Source organism: Homo sapiens, chromosome 7 (genome assembly GCF_000001405.40).
Source record: "Homo sapiens chromosome 7, GRCh38.p14 Primary Assembly".
NCBI classification, from domain to species: Eukaryota; Metazoa; Chordata; class Mammalia; order Primates; family Hominidae; genus Homo; species Homo sapiens.
Window position 1 is genome coordinate 85,764,865 of NC_000007.14, and position 25,116 is coordinate 85,789,980.

Here is a 25,116-nt window from a genome sequence, read left to right on the forward strand (position 1 = left end):
CAAGGTTCCTCTGCCTTTGCCACCTTAGAACGTGCCCTGTCCCAGGTCAGACACAAAAGATTCATATTTACTATTATGGCCTTTATAGTCTCAGCCATAGTCATCCTGTCAACTGCTTGGGTTGCTGTTGCATCTATTACTGAATCAGCACAAACAGCTGCTTTTGTAGATAATCTGGCCAAAAATGTGTCTAGTGAACTTCTCTTACAGCAAGGTATAGATCAAAAAATTCTTGCACATCTGCAAGCCCTTGAGGCTGCTTTAGAATATGTGGGAGAGTGACAAGATACAGTAGCATTCCGTCAACAATTAAACTGTGACTGGGAACATAAACATATGTGTATCACTTCTCTACCATGGAATCAATCAATACATAGCTGAGATGACGTGAAACAACACCTCTGGAGAACCTTTCATAACAATTTAACAGCAGAGGTGAAGCAACTTAAAATTAAAATTTTAGAATCCCTTCACACCATATATCTGCACACCCAACAAACAGCCATATGGAAGGGTGTACAAGATCATCTCTCCTTGTTAGACATTCGCTCCTGGTGGTCACTCTTTGACTGGAAAGTAATGTTGCTAATTGTGCTTATGGTTGTTTTATGTTATTTGCTAATCCTAGGATGCAAAGCTGGAATAAGAGCAGGGACCCCCCCCGCCCCGCCTTAACTGACAAACCCATGGCTAACAAACCTGCGCTCCCCAGTAAAAAAAACAAAAAACAAAACAAAAAAAACTTAATGTTGAAAATAAAAAAGGGGAAGATGCTGGGGTTCGATCAGGCTGGTGGAAAAAATATTAGTTATGATAGCCACAAAACCCTTTTGGAAGACCTGAGGGTTTTCACATGACTTCGGTAATAGACCGGCCTGGTCCCATTACCTTTAGCTAAATAGATTAGAGTAGTAAACAAAGGGAAGTTTATCTTACTAACCTGTTTACTTATATGGGCTTAAGACTAACCTTTGTCCTACCGCAGGTACTTTACTGCCTCCTACTGCGGGGAGGGGTCAGGGGTCCCTAGAAGTTTATTACCCACAAATGGTGTTTGCTTTAGGCCTGGGAACCTGGCCTTTAATCTTTATGTTCTAGTGGTGTTTACTCACAACTTTTGTTAATTAGTCTTACTGAATAAGTGCAAGCCTGACTATCTGATCCGGGCTGAGTTGCAACTGTTTACAGAACTCAGCTTGGAGCCTGTAAGCGGCTCAGACCCTCAGCTGGACTGGCAGAGCAGAATATGTGTGTGTCAGTGTATGTTTTACTCATCCATCGCGGAATCAGGGGTTTGCAGGAACAATCCCCCCGGCAGCTAGTGCCCCCAGGAAAGGAGTGCTGCCTCACTTATTATTTCTGCTGCTGATGCTCCTTCATCCGTGATATTCCAAATTTATTTCTGGTATCCTTCCGATGGAAAAGCTTCTTTTAGTAGGTCTTTTGGTGCAGGTCTAATGGTAACAACTTGTCTTGGTTTTATTTTATCTGAAAATGTGTTTATTTCTCCTTCACTCCTAAAGAATATTTTCACTGGATATAGAATTACAGACTAAAAGTTTATTTATTTAACACTTTAAAAATTTTGTTTCATTAATTCTTTTATAAATTATTTCTGAGGTCACGTTTGTCAACCTTCAAATTATTATTCTCCTACAATCAACATGTTACTTATTCTGGCTAATTTGAAATATTTTTTGTCTTTAACTTCCAGTACTTTTATTACAATTGGTGTAAATGCAGATTTCTTAAGGTTTATTCTCTTTGAAGTTTGATGAGTTTCTTGAATCTGTAGATTTATTTCTTTCAAAAAATTGAAAAAGTACTCAGTCAATATTTCTTCAAATATTTTTCTTGCACTATACTTTTCATTGTCTTCTTCTGAATCTATTTAATATTATTTCACATGCTCCCTAGGCACTGAGCATTTGTTCCTAATATACTTTATTTCTGCTTGGATAATTTCTATTCATCTACATCAAGTTCACTTTCTCTTTTCTATGTCAATTCCATTATGGCTTAATCTAAGCCTATCCAGTAGGGGTTTTCAAAATGTATCTTATTATATTTTTCAGTTATGAGATTTCCATTTGATCCTTATTTATATATTCTATTAATTTGCCGAGATTTTCTAGTTTTCCACTCCTTTCAAGAATGTCCACTTTTATTATTTGTTGGAATGTTTTTAATAGCTATTTTAGAATCTTGTCAGATAGTTCCAACATGTGTGCCATCTCATCATTGATATACATTGATTATTATATCATATCTTTGTTGATATTTTCCTTGTTTTTTGTATAATGAATAATTTTTAATGTATCTTGAAAGTTTTGAATATTGTGTTATGAGACTTACCTCTTCTTAAAAAATCAGTGGATTTTTAACCTTTTCTTTATAGACAATAACTTTGGCTGGATTTATGGCACAATTTCCAACCAACTATCTGAATTGTGTTTTCAGTATAATTTTGTTTTCTATTTCCAGTGTGTGCTAGACGCTGGAATTGTCTGGGAACTGGGTGATTATCTGTCTCTTAATTTAATTCTCAAGGCTTTTGGTTTGCTGTTTAAGACATGTGTGCATACCTTGGGGCCAAGAGGGGGTAATCCCAGGACTTTTAAACTATTTTTATAGATTGGTTTTCTCAAGTTCCTTTCTCTCTGTGATATCCTTACTACCTTCTAATGTCCGGAAAGTCACCTTTATAATCTTCTATCCAGAATGCTGGGATTTTATACACTGTGTACTGCTGTACATTCCTTGTCATTTTGCCTGCATTTACGGCCAATGTCAGGTGGACAGAAATAGAAAAGATTAACAGAACATTACCATAAATACTTAAGATTATAGCTTCTCCAATCAGAAGAATGTCCACCTCCCACAGTTCCTGCTGCCTTGTTATGGCTTCTAGGAAACCTCTTTATCTCTCCTCAGGCCTGAACTAGACAGCAACTCCTGAAGCATGCTCTACATGTGCCAATGCCCCCTTCCATTGTAGGCTTCCTTGATTCCAGGCCAACAAATCCTGGAGAAAAAAATATATAGGTGACTTCACTATTGATTTAGTGTTACCTCCAACTGTGGTTTTCCACCCCAGATACTCTGCTATTTACTTTTTGGAGCCCACATATATTTTTTATGTTTAGGATTTTTAGCTTCATTGAGTCAGAATGACAGGGTTGAGTGTGCTTACTCTATCATACCCAGAACTGGAATACTGATAGCAGGAGGCAGACAAATCCCTAGGCAGATAGGGTGAAATCCCACCTATAAGCTGAAGACAAGCCTGAAAGCCAAGCTACAAGTCAAATCCACAGACCAGATTAAGAACCTGTCTTCCCATTTGGCATGCTTTTCTCTGATTGATTCTCACCCTTCACCTATTTTGCATATACCTACGCTTTACTAATTGTTTTTCTATACTACTGCACCCACCTTTGAGTGGTGCCTTTGCTTTAGCCTTTCTTTGCATACTCACAAACCAATCTGTATGCACTCCCCTATTCTGAGCCCATAAAAGCCCTGGACTCAGCCACATTGAGAGAGAAACCAACTGACTGTGGGGTAGGGGACCACTCCCCACATGCCCTCTCCGCTGAGAGCTGTTTCATCACTCAATAAAATTATTCTCCACTCTCCTGACCCTTCGAATTGTCAGCTTAACCTCATTCTTTTTCAACACAGGACAAGAGCTCAGAAACCACAGAAGGCAGGTAGAAGCTAAGACACAGGTGAGCTGGAGCATGCCTGGCCCAGCCATGGGTGAGCCAGTGCACAATCCAGGCTTGACACAGGCAGGCCAAGTGGGTGGGTGCCTCCAGCAGAGGCCTGAGGCTGAGTGAGGCCCAGGCAAAGTGGCCATTGCTGGCTGTGAAGGCCCCTGGTCAGCAAAGTGGCTGAGAAAAATCTTGCATCAATACTTCTGATAATATTTGAGGCATACTTATAAATTATAATTTCTTGATAATTGGCTAATCTGAGTCAGAAATACAGTTTTTGCTTATCACATTGGATATACTTACTTAACACTTTGAATACTCCTCATGAATAGATTATTTCAAGGTCAGGGCCAGGAAAAATAATGGCACTGTAATGTTTTGTATTATCATCCTTTTGGAGAGGAGTAGTGACTTATAATTTTGCTTTGGTATTTTTACATGTCCATCTCAAGGAAACATCCTCCCACTTCACACTTTCACATTTTTGATCATTCATGAAAATAATGAGAAGTGTTTTGTTCAGATATGATTTACATATATAAACAAAATTTAAAGTAGAATAAAATTTGAGAAACACTGTCTTAGACATATCTTTCAAGTACTTGTTATCATTATCTTTTAAAGTAATTTTTAAGTATTAAAATAGACATTTTTTTTTTTTGAGATGGAGTCTCGCTCTGTCACCCAGGTTGGAGTGCAGTGGTGCAATCTCAGCTCACTGCAACCTCCACCTCCTGGGTTCAAGCAATTCTCCTGCCTCAGCCTTCTGAGTAGCTGGTACTACAGGTGCACATGCCGCCACGCCTGGCTAATTTTTTTGTAGAGACAGGGTTTCATTTCATAGCAAATGCTTTTTTATTTAGGTTCTCAAGATCTGCTGGCAATATTTAATTTAAAATAGTTTTTAAAATTTAGTTATCACTTGTAAAGTATGGGAAGTAATTATAAGTAACAGACAGTAATTTCTGCTATCTGATTAAAACAAAAAATCATCTAACCTTTACATGATCATGGAATCGAAAAAGTACCTGCCATTAGAGTCAATCTTTACCTCAAGACAATGCTATATAGATAATGTAGTGCCAAATGCAGATTTAACAGAAAGTCCATTGTACAATAACACAGAGCATGTTAATACATGACTTGAATCTAAATCATGTTTAGAAATTTGTCATTTAATATACAACATATGTATGAAAAAGAAGATTCCATAAGACATCTGATTTGGAGTAGCAGCGAGTCATTTCAGAGTCATCATTAGATATAAAAATATATATCTATACCACTACATTCTTATAGTATATAACTTAAAGAAATGAAACTCAACATTTTAATGTAGATTTAAGTTCAAGATTGGGAATAATACATTAGAGTGCATTTAAAAAGTACAAATGAAAATGAGACCAAACTGAATTAGCTTAGTCCCAAAGTTGATATTTTCACATGATTTTGGGGTTTGTCAATGTCAATAACTGTAAATTATCCAAAGATCCAAAGATATAAAAAGATCAAACACACACATTCCATACCTTCTACAATGCCAAAATAAAATCCCAAAATACCATCTGAGCTCAAAATAAGAAAATTCACTTTGATATTTAAAATACAATCTCTTTTTGATAGACCTTATAAAATAAAGTTTGTATATTAAATGATAAAGGTGACTTACTTTAATTAGGGGTATTATTTTAGAGTGTTTTGGCAAGCTGCCTGTTTTGTGTATGTGTGTGTGTGTGTGCATGCTGAAGCTGATGAGATCAGCAAAAGAAAGTAAAATCTTTTCATGATACAAATCCAGTGGTCCATATAAGGTCACTTTTTATGGGATCCAGGGTACATCCCAAGCCAATGGTCAATTAGCACTAATATGGAAACTGGCTTCTATCATTGCTGCAACTCAGTACTTACAGTGTGCAATAACAACCTAGAACAGACTTGGTGACCTACACAAGGCCAAATGCCAAACCTAAATTATGATAGTTTTGCAAGCGAGACATCTCATGTTACCGCAAACCTTTTATGGATGATTTCTGCAGTGTTTTTAATTATGACTAAGTAGAATCACATCATTTCTTATACTTGTATTGTCGTCTCTGAACATCAATTTGATATTCATATGGTATGTATATTTCTGATTGTTTGTAACTATCCAGTTCTTCCTCAGTAGGATAATCTAGGTTTTGGTTTTACTTATAGGTTTTTAGCATGCTTTCTGAATTATAAGCAATACAGTAGACACAGCATTCTGGATTTTGGTTTCTCCTTAAAAGGCAAGTCTATTCTTTCACAATGTGTTACCTATGCATGCATTTGATACAGAAAGTTCTCTGAGAGTCAGAATCTACTTTAGAATAAACATGTACTTTAAGGATAGATGTGGTTACATTTAAATTAAATCTGATGCTTGAAAAGATAATCTATATTTAGAAATATTTGGTCAATGACTTGCCGCATTGTAAAGTTGGTGCATGTATGTTTGTATATGTGCTTAGTAAATTACAAATGTATCTAGAATATAGAGCAATACTTATGGCTCTAATTCTGTTCCCAGAAGTTGTGTTTGTATTCTCAATTAATTTTGAGGTTTTTAATTTAAAATAGAAGAAGAAATTTTATTAATGAAATATCTACTCAGAGAGTCTAAATTATTTATAGAAAAAACCTATATATATATATATATATATATAGTACTTTCCTGCTAAGGTGAGCAAAATTTCTAATGACAATCAAGTATATATACTTTGTAAATAGCAATATAATTATTGTTGCTTATTTTAAGGCTGAGTCTTGCATCTGTTTTTAAATAGTAATTCTTGTTGTTATTAATAGCTAACATTTTATGTTATGAATTAAGTCTGGGTTGTTTCCCCCCATTAGACTGCTTCATCTTTTACTTACATAATCTTCTTATAATAGTCCTGCACCCCTATAATTATTTATCCTTTTTATCCGTCCAGTGGCTTGCTCTCATACACTACTGAACTGATTCTTCATATGAGCACAGAGACAAGTATCTATAAAAGTAGTTCCTTCCATCGATATTCAAAAATCTCAGTGTGCCAACCTTAAAGCTAATGTAACTACAGAAAAATTACCGTCCAAACATTAAACTTCTAGGTCATCAGAAACATGTTGTACAGAATTCTATCCAGACTGATTTGCTTCCAAATGTTTAGCTAAAATGGGGGATAAAATAACTCATATTTTCCTCAATTGAGTATTTAAAAAATTGAATGTTTGGCAAAACAGTATATTACATCATACTTAGTGATAAACTTAGTAACAAGACATACACACACACATATATAGATAGATATAGATAGCTATCTATTTATAAATATATGTAGATAGATCTGTACGTATAACATACCACTACACAGGTTTATTTCATAGCTACAATTATTGTGGGATAGCATGGCTTTCCACTTCAGTATGTACTAAATTTTTATATGTAAATATATATACTATCATATATATAACATTTTATAATATAGCATTTATAATATGATATTATATATATAAAATATTTAGTACATACTGAAGTGGAAAGCCATGCTATTCCATAATAATTGTAACCATGAAATAAACCTGTGTGGTGGTATATTATACATGCAGATCTATGTATATTAAAAAATTGGATTTGATGTGATGCTCAATATTGAGAGAAAGCAACTTCTGCTATGATTTTTATAAGCATTTTTGAAAATAAATTTTAATATTAGGAATAATTTTACATATGTTGTCATGGAGATTCCTGCTTTCTTTAAGCATCAGTCTGGTGTGTAAAAAACACAGCAATACCATAGTAAATTCTCTAAAGCCTAAGATTTAAAGCAATGCAAAGGCAATCCATACATCAATTACACTTTCATGCAACAAGTAAAGGAGTTAGGAACATGAGAAGTGTGTCAATTATTATTTTTTTAATTTCTAAATAATCTATCTTCATTTTACAATAACAATCATATGAGTTTTCAATATAGATTATTTAGAAACAACAACACATGAACAATAATTGACACACATCTCATACCCCTATCTCCTTTACTTATTGCCTGAAAGTATAATCGATGCATGGACTACCTTTGCATTGCTTTAGAATTTCTCAAAGCATTATTGATATTCCGGCTCACATTGTAGATGTCCTTTCTGAGGACCTGAATTTGAAAATTATGTGAATTTATTCATAACTATAATTGTTCATATATTTAATTTATTACATAAGCAAATGAGATTTTATGACAAAACTTTTTGTTAATATTGTATTGATGGCATACATCATCAGTATCTTCAAGTATTATCTTCACAGTAACAAAAAGTCACACTGAGAGAAATGTCTTACATACCAACTGTTACAAAATAGTCATTGATAACTTAGATTATTGATATAAACTGAGCAATCTGGAAGCAGCTTATAAAATAACTTTATACAAATCTATAACTATGTTAATTATACTGTCAATATAACACATATTTAGTTTTCTTTAACTAGCAAGAGATCTTTGCTTTTGTGACTTAGAATAGATCAGTTTTACAAAGGATATGTTTCTTAACTTAGTACAAATCAAGTATTGTTTAAGTTTTGACTTAAATGACCACAGATTACATTTTGTGTTCTCCAAAGTACATAACAAAATTCAAATACAAAAAAACACACTAAGATAGAGTAAGATGTTCTTACATCAGCCTCCAACTCCCCTTCATTTCTGTGTATGACACATTTTCTCCTCCATGCCAGATGTGCCGAGAATTATCACTCTTTGTCCCAAGGGCCTTTTTAATATTTTCATGTGGTCCTCAAGTTTTGCTAAAGCAATTGCTAAAAGTGTTTGTGTATATATACACTTATCCAAGAATTGGAAAGTCACAATAACACAAAGGAAAGCCTCTATATTCAAATTTTAAAGAGGCTTTAATTTGTTTCAGTATGACTTGTCAATTCCTGGATGCCTATTTCATTTATTCACTAGAGAAGTATGCAAGCTGAGTTTGGAAGACTCAGCCTGTCTGTTATTTGACTGTTTTGCAATAATCTGTATTCTTAACCACACTGCAGTTACGGAGAGAAAAAAAACTTCTATTCTCTTTGGTGTGAATAGTTACTTTTGAATGGGGTCAAACTGAATTTCTATTCCCCAGGAAACAGATACAGGGACACGATTAATGTGACATCATTAAGTAATACAACTACTCCACTTTTTCTATTTTCTGCCCATTAATCAGTTAACAAAAGTTAACTTGCAAAAGTTAGAATGTAAGCTGAGTTTCCCACAAGGGTATATTTCAGATATGTTTGTTGTGGTTTAGACTATGAAACCCTGGGTATCATACCCCCTCCTGCCATAGCTTAAGGGATACAAGCATGCAGTATAAAGTTACACTCGATTACCACTCTAATTTATAACATTGACTAAAAAATACTTTTCTATTCTGAAGAAAAGGTTGAGGAAAAAGGTGGAGTCAATGAAACATACTCTACATCATTAAAGCTGCTGATGTGACTGAGAGATTGAGATCTACTATGGAAATAGGGGTTGGGAGAATCTGAGATTGCTGATAGGAAGAAAATGTTAAAGGCATCTCAGTGTCACTTCAGTCCAAGACATGAACCTTGAAATATGTTCTGTTCTTTATATGTTATCTTTGATTCTCAAGGTGGCATAGCTACATCAGTAATTTATAAACTCTAAAATCAGACTGCTTACTAACTCTTTGAATGTAGGTATTGTATACAAATGTCTCTGTGTTGGTTTCATCATGTGTAAAACTGGCATGAAAATAATAGTACCTAATTTATAATATTACTTGGGGGATTAAATTAGATAAAATGTGTAAAACGTGAAATAGTGTTAGAAAATGAAGAATCACTATGTAACATTGTTATTGCTATCATTTCATATTTTTAGAACCTTGTCTTCTGTCTTGTCTAATAGACATTTTGTCCTGCTGATTACCTATCGGAAAAAAAAAAAAACACAAGGAGATAAAGCACACAAAGCCTTGGGAAAACATTTGATTGACTTGGGAATATTTTGAAATGTATGTTGTAATCTTGATATGTGTCAGATGGGATAACATGTTGTGACTCTTTTTACAATAGTCATAAACTTGAAAATGCCTGTTGTTATTAAGTAATTTGATTTATAAATTTCCATTTTGATTCACCAGTAAAATTTTACTCCTGCTACTACTACTAATGATAATGATAGAATCATTACAATACAGTGATCAGTGGTTTTTTCTTCACAAAAAATACAATTTGTTTACAATTTTATTATTAAAAATCTCAAACAATACACAGTATAGTCTAAATTCTAAATGTACAAATGATGATATTCTCTAGATATGATATCAGCTGTTTTAATGTTAAACATGCAGATCTGAGAAAGAAAAGCTATTTACAATTTATTCATATATTATAAAGCCAAATGCAAGAAATAGCCTTTACACATTGATGTATCAGGCAGATGAGCCAGGACTCATGTATCCCTAGATCAACCATTGATTACGTTCCCTGACATGTTCCTGGCTCCAGAAGGCTTCGCCAGACAACGCCACGCTTTCCCAATACCTTGGCGTATCTGTAAAAGGGTAATACACTGGAATGGAGAACTGGGATGAGGCAGTGTTATTTACTTCTTTTTTTTTTCATAACGTAGCCAGTAAGTTTAGATGGATTTCACAGAGCTGCAGGACTAACTGAATCCACAAGAACAAAAAAATCAAATGGACTCTTTCTTAGGAAAAAATAAAGAAAATCAGCAATACCTCAGAAAACTCTGAGTGAATAAACTGCCAACTTTTCTGCTAAAATACAACTAATGTCAACACTTTGTAATTTCTAGTTACTTTGCAAGCCAAAATCACTTTTCCTTAAATTAAAGACAATAAATGTGATTGTGTGCCAATAATTCTAGTTTCTATATGGTAGTTATACGTTTTGCCTTTGCATCGTATATGAAATGAGGCCATGTAGACAGCACATATATGCAACATTGTACATCAATTACTGAAGACTTTGCAGAAATATTGAAGTGTCATATCCCCTTTCCAGCAAGCCAGTGGGCTCTCTCACAAGTGAAGTCTTTATCAGGCAGCAGAACACTTGGCACAAAAATTGTTTGATTATAACAGGCTGTATCCAGAGCTAAAATATAAATAATTCTGAAATTGGCTGCTAATTAAGGGAGTACAGCCGAATGAGGTTACCAGATACATTCTCTCTCAATGGAATTCTATTTTTCAAACACATAAAATCTAATTTACCTTTTCCCTATATTATTTACTAATCTTACAAGAAGACACGAAGTAAATAATTATTTATAAAAGACTTTACGAAAATAACTTATTAAATATAAAGCACTGATTATTATCCAGCCCGCCCACAATATTATTTTCATCATAAAAAATGGGATACAAAGACATGAGTAGAATTCAACTTCTTTTCATCTAGCATTGTTTCTTTGTTGCATCAGAAAAACTGCCACTTTCAGGACTAAATTTCAAATGATTCATAATTGTATCTCCAAGTAAACATGGGGATTGTATTATGCTGATGAATATTTTCTCTTTATTGGTGGCATTAACTTAAGAGGGTGCATCCTGTACAGACCTGACCCTCACATTCTGAGGCTGGTATTTCTTTAAAAATCCTAATGCAAGCTGACTTCACCTCTATGCTTGATCTATGATTTTAGTTATTGCATCTACAATAATAGCTTTTACACTTTTTAAAGGAAAGACAGATAAATATACACAAAAGTTGTTTCCAATACATAAAAGAGAGAAAAGAGGAACCTATCTAATTGAAGAGTTAGATATTGAAGAAACAACCCCACCCTCTTTGCTCTACTTCTATCCTATCCAAATTCTTCAGAGGCTAAAATCTACTAACTTAGAGAATTACCTTCTTTTCTTACTACAATCTAAATGGACATAATCACAAGACTTTTCCCCGCATTCACTGTCTAGAATATAAGAGCCTTTGACTGTTCTGACAGAATAGTTAATAAACTGCCATTCATTTTACCTACCTTAAATGCTTGCTCCTGATGTTTTACCTAAAATACATAACTTAAAAATTTCCTAAGTGGCCTGATTCTGAAAGACACTGGAACTCACAGTGAAACATAACTTATACACTAACCAAACAGATTCTGTGAATTACACATAAGAAAACCTTGACTATTGTGTAGGCAGGAAAGAAAGCAAACAAATTCTGCTTTTACTCATTTGCACATTGCATTACCATAATTTTTCCCTTCCAAATAATATGCAGATGGAACATTAGGCAACATGCTGCTGTAAATCACTGTTAGTGCTGTGGTAGTGGCAGGAGAAAACAGTTAAGGGATTCATTTTTATTCCAAGAAAATCATACTTTTCAAATCCATCTGAATCACAGCCAACGGATTACTTCTTATCTGGCTATAATAAATGTTCTTTCCATCAGCCTTGTATGTAAAAAAAAAAAACCCACCTCATTGTACTAAAAAGTACAATGCACTTCAAGGTCAGCTACAGTTGCCCAGCTTTCAAATAGGCACCACAGCTTGTGTTTTTATAGAGAACAGGTGAACCACAGACTGGGATGTGGTTCCTGCTTTTAAACTTCCTGTATGTGTAGTCTTTAAGTGAGTCTGAGCATTTTGAGTTGCAAGTCTTTACAGCCCTTCTGATTGCCCACTTATTTACTGGATTTGTGAAAAATTTGTGAGAAAGTCAAGAAGTCATTCTGTTCTCTAGGATGAGGAAAAGATTGTTACAGTAAATGACAGAGGCAGTGTTATAATTTATGACACCTCTATCTCACCAAAGGAAGTCTTCCTGAGAGCCCAGTAAATCATTTGTGGCACAATGATGGGTGAGAAAGGGAAAAATGAAATAAGTTAAATCACCTGAGCCTCAGTTCACATCCTGCCATGTAGGTCCAGGTGATAGGGCCCAGCAGGCCTAGAATTATGAAGTTCACAAATACGTATTTTCGTTCAGCCTACGCCTAAAAAGCTGTAAGAATCATTTTTACATACTATGTGACTATATTGTATAGGTACATATCTGCATTTATTTCTAGCTTTAAATCATTTCCATTCTCTAAATGCACACGTTTTTCAGTATTATGAAGATGAGGAATCTTAGAACTTCTAAAAGTGCTTTCTAAGGAATGAATCAGATTAAAACAACAATTAGCAAGAAAAGATAAAAGCAGAAGAAGGATGAATGAAATTTACATTTCAATGATGTAGTGATGTCAGATCAAGAGTTAAAAACAATGTATATATGTATCAAAATATCACACTGCACTGTATAATACATACATATAGTTATTAATCAAACATAAAACAAAAAATAAAAATAAAAATATGAAAATAAACTAGATATAAAAATGATGGTGCTATTTCAGTGAAAAAAGCCTATTAAGCAAAGGTTTGGTTGTCAGTTTCACATGACAAAAATGTAAAATTGGAGTAAATTTTCTGAGTGAGTTACATAAATGAAATTATGAGCTTTGGTACTTCCAACTAGATGATTACTACTTGAAAAACGCAACTGTTTGGTTTGTCCCACTCATGGAGAAGTTGCAAAGATATAATATATTGAGAGAACATTAGGAGAAAAGTTGTATACCCTACTTTATTATTATTATTATTATTATTATTTTACTGAAAAGTAAAATTTCAGATAGACCAAAGATTTAAACATAAACTATAAAATACTGGAAAGACACAAGGATTCTATTGTATTTTTTGTAATACTTAGAGGAGTAAATGTGTCTCTAGAGACTCAGAAGCTACTGAATAAAAAGTAGACAATAAAAAGTAGACTACCAAATATAAAGTCGACTTTATTATTTTTAAATATGTGGATAAATTAAAGCAATAGTACTTCATCTTCACAATGTTTAAAGAAAATTAGGATTGTTATTTGAAACAAATAATACACACAAAACGTTTATTATATAACCCAAAACTCATAAATATAAAAACAAAAATAGCCATTCTAAATAAATAGGGTAGGGGTGTGTTTGTTCAAGGATTATACCATGTACTTCACAGGGAAAAGGATGAATGGCCAAAATATTATCAAAAGATGCTCTATTTGTTTGACTTGACTTACCATTAAATACATTCATATTATATTAATAAAATATTAATTTTATGTATGTATATAATTATATGCATGTACATATATATGTATATATACACATATACACACAAGCTGTTTTAAGGAAAAAAATACTCTCATATTCTGTGGATGATATTTAAACGTAATTGGAGTGAATTTTGTCAATAACTATCAAAATTTAAAACACACATTCCCTTGGATCCAAAAATTCTACCTTGGGGAGTTTATTCTATGATTGATTATACTTCCATGGAAATCATATAGAGCAATTTTGAATGCAACATTCTCTAAAGTAGAAAAATATTTACATAAACATGCATCAATAAATATGCATATGGAAATAGGCCCATGATTATTTGTTAAATTGTTACATAGAAAAAAATTTAACACAATGTTTGATTGATAATGTGTTAAAAATACAATTATCTGTTCATAAAACACATTTTGCACGAATCCACAATAGACTGTTAAAGTTCTTTCTGAAGTTTGTGGTGCTTTGGACCTCTTACTTTTTAATTTACAATCTTCCCATATGGTTTGGAATCTTTGTATAAGAATACATGATGTTTATAATGAAAATAACTGTGGTTTTTATGAATTTCAAAAATTGAGTTTTGTACACTAAATGTGCTTAATTACTCTATTGTTTTTAAAACTGAGTTGTATAAAAATTACATCTTGATAAAAAATAGAAAATTGCTTACACTAAGCTCATGATTTTTGATGGAGTAGAGTTTACAAAATTGGAAAAGTAGTAAATTAAGAATGAGAAATGAAGTTTTCTGGCTTCAATTCTTGTTTTAAATCCATGCTTCATTATTTACCACTTATGTGTCAACTATGTCAGTATGCTCCCAAAAGCTTGATTTTTTACCTTTTAAAATTTAGTAAGATAATTGTCCTCTATGTTGTAATTTTATATGATTAAATAGAGGAAAGCATGAAAAAGTGCTTTGTAATTTATTTTTGAAGTGGTTCTTATCTATTTTATTTAGGATATACTGAACTTCACTACCTTTATGCTACTGCAGTAAGAGACAAAATAAGGCTAAATTTTATTAATAATTACCTGAGTCAGCTGGCTCTAGCCTATGCCTTTCAGTGTAAGACTTAAAACTCTCTTCAAAATTATTTTCACTTACTTTGTAGATGTTTCCTGTGTCCCATGGACAAGTTTTCTCAAACCCTGTGGCCTCTGGTGCTTCTACTAATCAGCAAGAAATTCCCTAAACATAAAACCAAGAAAAGGATCTTTCTGTGTGCTAAGTCACCTCCAGTCTGCTGTTAAATGTTGCCCTTGGTTAAATGTTGCCCTAGTAGTGCCCAGTAGCTCACCAGGAATCCCTGGATGTGTCCAGCCACTCTTGATGGCATTGCTACTACCAGGTTCCCGGATGCTATCATGGTTGTTGCCTCATGAAAGGGAAATAATCGTTTTCAAGAAGACTCTTGGGTGACAATAGTTACATTAGATTTTGTTTTCTTTTTGTTTTGTTTTATTTTCTAACAAATTTTCTCCAAAGGCACTGAGACACAAATCACTGGAGATAAACTGGAGAAATATGTTTTGTCTTCACACTTTGGGCAAAGCTAGTCCTCTCTTCCAAAACTTCCAGAACTTTCATTATCAATAGTGTTTCTCGGTTCTCTCGAATTATGATATATCCTGGTAGACCATGTAGATTGTCATAAATAAGGTCCTATAAGAGGCTTATAAACATGTTGGACATATTGACTACTTGTGGCAAATAGCTCATTATAAAAAGGATTTGCACTTTTTTTGTTTGTTTTTTGTTTGTTTGTTTTTGAGACGGAGTCTCACCCTTGTCGCCCAGGCTGGAGTGCAGTGGCACGATCTTGGCTCACTGCAATGTCTGCCTCCCAGGTTCAAAATATTCTTATGCCTTATAGCTGGGATTACAGGCCACCACACCTGGCTAAATTTTGTATTTTTAGTAGCGACGGGGGTTTCATCATTGTTGGCCAGGCTGGGATTTGCACATTCTTAATGTCCACACCTTATCTACACATATACAAGTATAATATACTTCTATATAAAATATCTTTCTGCTTTTTCAAAGAATAAAAGAGAAAAAGAAACTTTGAGAGTATTTGAAAATGCATTCCTAAATTCCTACCAGGTTTTGTAACCCCACAAATTCTGTTTTCTCATAATAGCTGTTCTGTATACCTCTCACAAAGTTATCTGAAAGTTCAAATGAAATAACAAATGTGAAAAATGCTATTTGTTAACAATGGTGGAAAACATAAAGTAGATAAAAAACCCATAGCACCAAAATGCTGTATCTACAATTATGTCTCTACAATTCATGCTGACAGCACAAACCAAGATATGAAGATCACTGTTCACAAAGAATAGCTTTACACCTCTATTCAAAATATATTACATCATGGCAAAAGGCTAGAGACTTAGCATTAGGTCTTTAAACAACAGAAGGATCAAGAACAAAAATGTATTCCACGCCAATTATGAATGTATTGGGTAATATTAATTAATCCATGCATTGAACAAGATAGCTTTTGAGTACAATATGCCAAGGCATTATTTCATACACATGGTAATTAATCTTTCTGAACTCGAGATCCATCTTAAAAATATGAAGGGAAATGATTTAGTCTGGTTCAGAAGTGGGCTGTATTCTGAGTTCTAACTTCTCTAAGAAATAGGCATTTGGGAGAACATACTAAAAACAGAGCCATCTCTGTATAAAGAAAATACTTCCATTTAGAAGGTACTGAAAATAAGCATATGGTATTAACAGCATTTTGAAGATAATTTTTTTAAACTGAGAACTCTATTTTAGAGGTTTACATGATTTTTAATGAAATACCAAAACTCATGCATCCCACAAATCTCCAATTCCTGGAATTTTTTTCGTAATACAATTTGAGAAGATAATAAAACATTTGACTGCCTAATTTCCTGGGGAATATAAAGATATATTTGTTTTCCATAGATTTTCAATCAGAAAACCACTTACCACACCACCAAGATGAATCACACAGACTATTTCATTTGGCAGTTAGTTATATCTTCTTTAATTTTAAAAAATTGCTTGCCAAGGTTGGGTGTAAATTATGATAAACACTATGTCTGTCTACTCCTTCGGGGTTGTGTCATCGTTTTGGTTGAATTCTATTAGCTACACTTTGCACTCGGTAGTTGTTATGTCTGAAGACACACAAGTATGCTTTGGCTCCCCAGTATATATTTTCTTCAAAACTATCATGCAAATGATGAAAGAAATACTATTTTGAGATTCTATAGTTTACTATGTACCACATGGTCTGTTTCAAAAGATCACAGAAATCATTCTTGCAACAGATAATCTACAGAGGAAATGTGCAGGTTTTAGGTCAGTGCTTTCTGTCATTGTTTCACTCTGAGACTTAACTAGATTCAAGTGTTTAGTGAAATTTGCAAAAAGAAACAGGCTCATACTATTTGATGCCCATAGGGGAAAGAGCCTTGTCTAAAATTAGCTTTTTAAAACAGATGCATCCATAGACACAAATTAAAAGAATCATTTTAAAAAGAGTGATTGAATGGAAAATTCAGGCTCTGTTTGCCAAAGCTAAAAAGCACTGTTTAGTCATGAAAATAGCTTGAATTTCCATGTAAATTTATTATTTTCAAAATATTTCATAAACGCTATCTCATTTAATCCTTAACAATCACTTCCACATGTAACTAGGGTATGTGCAACAATAATATAAATAATAAAATGAGAACAATCAATATTCTTTCTATGTGCCAGTCTCCTTTCTGCACGCCTAAAAATAAATTTTATCATTAAATAAATTTAATAATTAATTTAATTACTCTTTGAGTTACTCTGTGAGTTAGGTACTATTTATATCACCATAAAAAAGTGAAGAAAAGGGAGATTAAATAACTTGTCCAAGAAAACAAAACTAGTAAGTGGAGGAGCCAGACATTCTACTAATGTCACCTCAATGATAGGCCAGCTAGGCTAGACTCGTTTAGTTATTTTGACAAGTATATATATATTTTTGGATATATTTTTAAGATTAAAGAAAGAAAAAGATACTTCAGAGACTTTCATCTACTGATTAAACTGAGAATAAATCAACAACATTTTAGTCTAATGTGCTTTCATCTCTAGTAATGATCACTCTTCAATTTTCTAATTTAGTTTTTTAATTGACAGATATAATTGTATATATTTACCATGTAGAACATATTCTTCTGGAGTAAGACACATTGTGGGGAATAAATAAATCTAGCCAGTTAACATATGTATTACCTCACAGTTATCTTTTTTGTGGAGAAAAAAAACCTTACATCCATTCTTTTAGGGTTTTTCAAGAATACAATATATTGTTTAATATAGTTACCAAGTTATACAATAGACCTCTTAAACCTCTTTCTCCTATCTGAAATTTTGAATCCTTTGAGCAAGATATACCAGCCTCCCTTCCCTAACCATTTCAGCCCCTGATAACAAACGTGAGATAAACTTTGTTAGGTTCTACATATGAATAAAATCATTTGATAGTTGTCTTTCTGTGCCTAATTTATTTCACTTAACATAGCATTCTTCAGGTCCGTTCATATTGTCCCATATTACAAAATTACCTTCTGTTTTAGGGCTGAATAGTGTATATATACCAGATTTTTTTTATCCATCCATTCATTTATTGATGGACATTTAGGTCGATTCCATATCATGGCAGTTGTGAGTAATGCTATAATAAACAAAGGAATGCAGATATCTCTTTGACATACTCATTTCATTTGCTTTGCACATGTATTCAGTAGTGGAATGGCTGGATCATGTGGAAGATTTATTGTTAATTTTTTAAGGAACCTCCATTCTGTTGCCATAATGGCTGCACCACATTATATTTCCACCAAAAGTGGAACAAAAAATGTTCTCTTCTTGCCACATCCTCATCAATACTCATTATATTTTGTATTTTTTATAATACCCATTATAATAAGCATGTATGTAGTGTTAATTTTCATTTCCCTGATGATTAGTAATACTGAGCATTTTTTCATTTCCTTGTTGACCATCTTCATGTCCTCTGTAGAGAAATGTCTATTCAGGACCTCTGTCAATCTTTTACTTGGGTTATTTGTTCTCTTGCTATTGAGTTACTTAAGTCCCTTATATATTTTGAATACTACCCCTTATCAGATGTGTAGTTTGCAATTTTTTTCTCTTCCCTATATTGATTTTTGTTTCTGTGCAGAAGAGTTTTAGTTTGATGTAACTTCATCTGTCTATGCATACTTTTCTTGCCTATGCCGATATTGTCATGTCCAAAAAATTATTGCCCGAGCTAATATCATGGAACTTCATCCATATGCTTTCTTCTAGAAGTTCTATAGCTTTGGGTCTTACAATTAAGTTTTTAATCCATTTTGAGTGATCTTTGTGTATCATGAGAGTTAAGAGTCTAATTTCATTCTTCTGAATACAGATATCCAGTTTTTCTAACACCATTTATTGAAGTGTCTGTCCTTTCCTCATTGTGTGTTCTAGGAGGCTTTGTTGGAAATCAGTTAACTGTAAATGCACGAATTTATTTCTCAGCTCTCTGTTATCTTCCATTGATCTCTGTGTCTGTTTGATGCCACTGCCATACTGTTTTGATTTCTATAGCTTTGTAGTATATTTTGAAGACAGGTAAAGTGAAGCTTCCAGATTTGTTATTTTATTCAAGATTATTTGGCATTTGGGGGTCTTTTGTTGTTCTGCATGAATTTTAGGATTGTTTTCTTCTAATTCTGTTAAAAAACATTGCTATTTTGGCAGAAATTGCATTGAATCTGTAGATCTCTTTGGGTAGTAGGACATTTTAATAATATTAATTATTTTAATATATTAATACATATCTCCCTATTTATTTGTGTCTTTTCAGTGTCTTTCATTGGTGTTTTCTGGTTTTTAGTGAAGAGATCTTTCACCTCCTTAGAAATTTATTCCCAAGTGTTTTACATTTGTTAACTACTGTAAATTGGATTGATTTCTTGATTCTTTTTTCAGATAATTTGTTGTTAATGTGTGGAAATGCTACTGATTTTTGTATGTTGAGTTGTGTCCTGCAACTTTCCTAAATTCATTTATTAGTTCTAAGTTTTTGATGGAGTCTTTAGGTTTTTCTACATGTAAAATTACATCATCTGCAAACAAGAATAATTTAATTTCTTTCTTTCCAATTTGGATGCCTTTTTTTCTTGCCTAATTTCTTTGGCGAGGACCTCAAGTACTAAGATAAATAGATGTGATAAGAATGGGCATCTTTGCCTTGTTCCAGATCTTAGAGGAAAAATTTTCAACTTTTTCCCATTGAATCTGATGTTAGCTGTGGGTTTGTCATGTATGGCCTTTATTGAGGTATGTTTCTCTTGTATCTAATCTGTTGAAAGTTTTTTATTATAAAAGTATGTTGAATTTTGTTAAGGCTGTTTCTGCCTGATTGAAGTAATCATGGATTTTGTCTTTCATTCTGTTAATGTGATATAACACATTTATTGATTTGCATATGATGAAACATTCGTGCATCACTGGGATGAATCCCACTTTACCATGGTGAGTGATTTCTTAAATGTGTTGTTGAATTTGGTTTGGTAGTGTTTTGTTAAGAATTTTTACATCTTTTTTCATCAGGGATATTTGTCTATATTTGTCTAATAATGATCACCTTAACACACTTATCAAAATGTTCATGAGTGTTTCCTGATACAGATTCAAGACTGTACCCTTCTGTAAGTGCAGTGTTTTTATAAAGTAGATGAGTAATCAGGGACCATCTTTCCCCTGATATCCATTTTTGGCCGTAAGACTGGTTTGCACAAATAAAGTGTAACCCAAGGTGATTTGGAAGAAACCTTTTCTACCATCTGTTTTCCCATATGTCTATTAGAAATGGATGACCAGGGAAAATTTTGAAAGCTTTTGTTAAGGTTGGAAGACCTGCTAGCCAATTTGGACTATCCATTTTGAAATTTCATGAATGGTATGCCACGATTTTGGATTATGAATTTTGGGAATTTCTTTAAGATTTTAATTAACCTAGCTTATACAAAAGCCTATTCAGTGAGTTACAATTTTAAAAGTCAAAAAATAAACACATTTCAAGTTACAAAAATTATATAACTTTTGTATTTGTATAGATGAGGCAGGGTGGGAAAGGGGTTTTCTATTCTTGTTTATCTTTCTGGGCTTTTGAAACTCTCTTATTTTTCTACCAGCTCAGCCATGCAATTAAAGAGATATGATACTCTATCTTTAGAATTACTTCTAAAATATGAAAATGATAATGTATAATTCCAAACTAGTAGATAAAAATAAAAAAATCTATCAAACAGGTGACAGAAAACAAGTATAATAAAAATATAGAAAAAGCCTAAGGATTAGATAGTAGGAAAAATTCTAATATATCAGTAATTTCAGGACATTTACTTCCCAAGGAAAAAAAAAACTTCTGTATCTAGCAATATGGAAAACTGGATGTCCAGATAAACTTTCCAAATAAAGAATATGTTAAAGTATTTGATGAAACATTAACTATGGAGGGTTGTTAAATAATACCAATGAAAATGGTTCAAATTCTTTGAATTCCCACATAAAAAAAGACTAAAAGTATTTAGCAAAAACAAAAACTCATGGATAATGTTTACAATGAATCTAAGTGGCAAGTTTTTCCTATGAGTTCAAATATATAAGTAGGTTGAATATATGAAAAGCACAAAATTTGCATGGCATCCATATCGGTGAGGCAGAAACCAAGGGAAACTATAATGCATCTGACAGACCTGAAAGCAGTAGACATCTCTGCGGGTTATCTTGATACCAGTTGTTGAAATGGTGGTGGTGGTAGAGGAGAGGGAGGAGCATTGCCCAATGAAATAGTGTATTGGTGCAAGGGCTCCATAGTAAGCACTGAAGGACTAGATAAGCCTAGCCTTTAAGATCTCCCCAAACTGACTAAATTCTTCCCAAGACAGAACAACACACAGAGAAAAAATTGCTGAGAGTACAGGAAAAAGTTATAAGAATGAAATATAAACAACAAAGAGAAAGAAAAGAAAAAGTCCAGACAAAAGTGGAGTAAAGGTAGGAGACCCAGAAAATCTGAGAAAGTGAGTTACTATTTGCTTAGACTATTAAAAAACAACAGAAAATGGAACTCTGCAGGTAGGACAGTCCCTGATCCAAGACATTTAAAAACTTAAGAAAAACACATTTTTAAAAATAAAAATAAGAAACAGATAATTGTCAAGGTCAAATCCCAACATGTGTATTATTTTTATAGAAAAGATAATTAAGGCCGGTTGTGGTAGCTCACATCTGTAATCCTAATTCTTTGGGAGGCCCAGGCAGGTGGATCCCTTGAGGCCAGGTGTTTGAGACCAGCCTGGGCAACATGGTGAATCCCCATCTATACTAAAAATACAAAAATTAGCGTGGTGTGGTGGTGCACACCTGTAATTCCAGCTACTCAGGAGGCTGAGGCAGAAGAATTGCCTGAATCCGAGAGGTGGAGTTTGCAGTGAGTGGAGATCACACCACTGCACTCTAGCCTGGGCAACAGAGTGAGACTCTGTCTCAAAAAAAAAAAAAAAAGAAAAAAAAAAAAAAAGAAAGAAAGAAAGAAAGAAAGAAAAAAAGAAATAAAGAGATAATTAGGTGTAAAATAATATCCACACAGAAAATAAAAATTTTAAGATGGGTTTTAAGCCATTTAAAAATGATATATAACAGAGCAAAATAAATGGGAATGAGAAGAAAACAGAAATAAGGTGCTACAACTTGGGGGAAAAAAAACAGAAATAAAAGAAAAATCACCTTATAAATGACAACCAGGAGAAACACAGGTAAATAGATATAACATAAAATAAAAATGCCTTCTGTGATTTAGAAGATTAAAAAGGACGATTTAAAAAATCAAAATAAATAAAGAGACAAGAATTGAATAAAAAGTAAGTATTGAAGCTGGGCAAAGATGATCTAAAAAATGTATTAAAAAAAACTTTCCTGAAGTTAAAAAAATGGAAATTCATAACGAAAAAAGTTCATTTTTATACCAAAAAAAGCACATTAAATACCTAAGAATCTTGATCTAGAATGACAAAACTCAAGACATACTCTAATAAAGTATTGAACTTAATATATTAAAACAAAAGCTCATTTGAGCACTGAGACAAAAACAGTAAGTAACTTACATAGGATAGAAAATTAGATTGTCATTAGACCTTTCACCAGCAATGCTTTTGTCAGAAAAATAGAGTAACATATTTAATATACTCAATATAAGAAGATAAATGACTTACCAGTATAACAGCATGAGCAAACTATAATCAACATGGAAGAATTCAGGGAATTATTGGGCCTTCCTGGGAAATCTACTAGGAAATAGTCTTCAGGCAACCAAAATGGGTACACAGGCATCAATATGAGAAGAGTGGTAAGAATTAAACATAGAGTTATCTATAGAATTATAATTGAAGAAAGGTTAAACATGAAGAACAGTATGCAATAACTCTATGCTTAGTCAATATAGATATAGCACAACTATTAAACCTGAGGGAAATTGGAAAAGCATATGCAAAAAAAAACTCTTCTCAGTAATTGCATATGTGATGTGTATATTGTTTTTCTGATAAAGTTGTGTATACTTTTAGATAAATTAAAATAATGGTTATAGAATATACAAAATTTGTTACCTCTGGTGCACTAGAGAACTTAAATTATCTGTGTAAAAGAAGGGAGATATAAATGTAATAGAGCAGATAATATACAAAAAGACCTGTGGCCCTAAATTTGAGTGGAAGTATTAGTAAGATCTCATGAAGCATAATACATTCTAAAAATGTGTATTCATTGACTGTCTATCCATATCTATCTACCTATCTATTCATCTAGCCATCAACCTATCTCCTTAGCTCAGTCAACTCCAGAGGCCCATATAGTATGACCAACCTTGTATCAATAAACATCCTTATTACCCAGATTGAGGTTTTAATTACTTATACCACTAAGGACAGTGAGTACCTCTCACAGAAATAGCTGATTCCAGTTTCGGAGTGGGCAATGTCCAAGAAAAACATGGAATATGGTGTCACACAGGATAGAGACAAAGGTATCAAAAACTTCCAGGGTCACATTTAAAAGAAACAAAAGCCAATTCAAAGAGGTCACTCATGCTAAAACCAGAACAATTTGAATTTAATTTTGAAAGTGATAATAATTACAACTGATAAAAAACAGTCATATATGTTGGGATGCATATTATTCATCTCAAATTATGTAAATAACATCCAATTATGTTTCAGATTTTAAACTTTTTTTTTCATTCTAGATAATTAAAATGGAGTTCAGATCTTAACTTTTTGTTTAAATTGTTAACACTGAAGGAAACATATATTTTGTCTTTTTTAAATCTTGGAATAAAGTTGAGAAATCATGTGAAAAAGACGCTAAAATGACTAAATAATTGCTACAAGACTTCTCCAAATGACCACAGTTTGAGTGATAGGTAAATTTTTATGAGGTTTTTAGGGAGTCCTAGGGGGTGAGGGAGGGAGGAGAGCAACGACTGAAAAAGTATACATTGGGTACTATGCTCACTACCTGGGTGACAGGATCAGTTGTACCCCAAACCTCAGCATCATGCAATATACCCATGTAACAAATCTGCACATGTGCCCTCTGAATCTAAAATAAAAGTTGAAATTAAAAAACAAACTGGTCAGGGGAAAAAATAAAGTTTTCCTTATATTAAAAAAGATAAAGAGAGTTAGGGTAGGTCAAAAAGAGAAGGGATTAAAGATCTGCTCCTAGGTTACTCTAATATTCAATTAGGGAGATAAAGACGGAGCAAACAAAGGCATTGGGATGGATTGGGAAGCTGGGAAGTGGAGTGGTAAGATTCAGGAGATGGTTGTGACCTTGAAGCTGATAGCAATTTCAAGGAAGAAAAGATGACAATTTTTTCAAATGCTGGAAATAAGTATTTACTTGACCAAGTAAGTTGAGGTCTGAGAACTGACAACTGGATTTAATGAGATAGTGTTTGTTGTTGACCTAGTAGAACAGCAATTTTGTTGAAATAGCAGAGCAGAGGCATAATTGAAAATGTTTCGAAAGAAAATGAGAAAAGAAGAAATAGAAGACATGTACCTCCAGCACTTTCTGGAGAAAGCTGTGGGGCCAAAGGAGATGTATGTTTTTATTTGATTTGAAAAGAAAAGAATAGAAAGAGAAAAATCTCAATA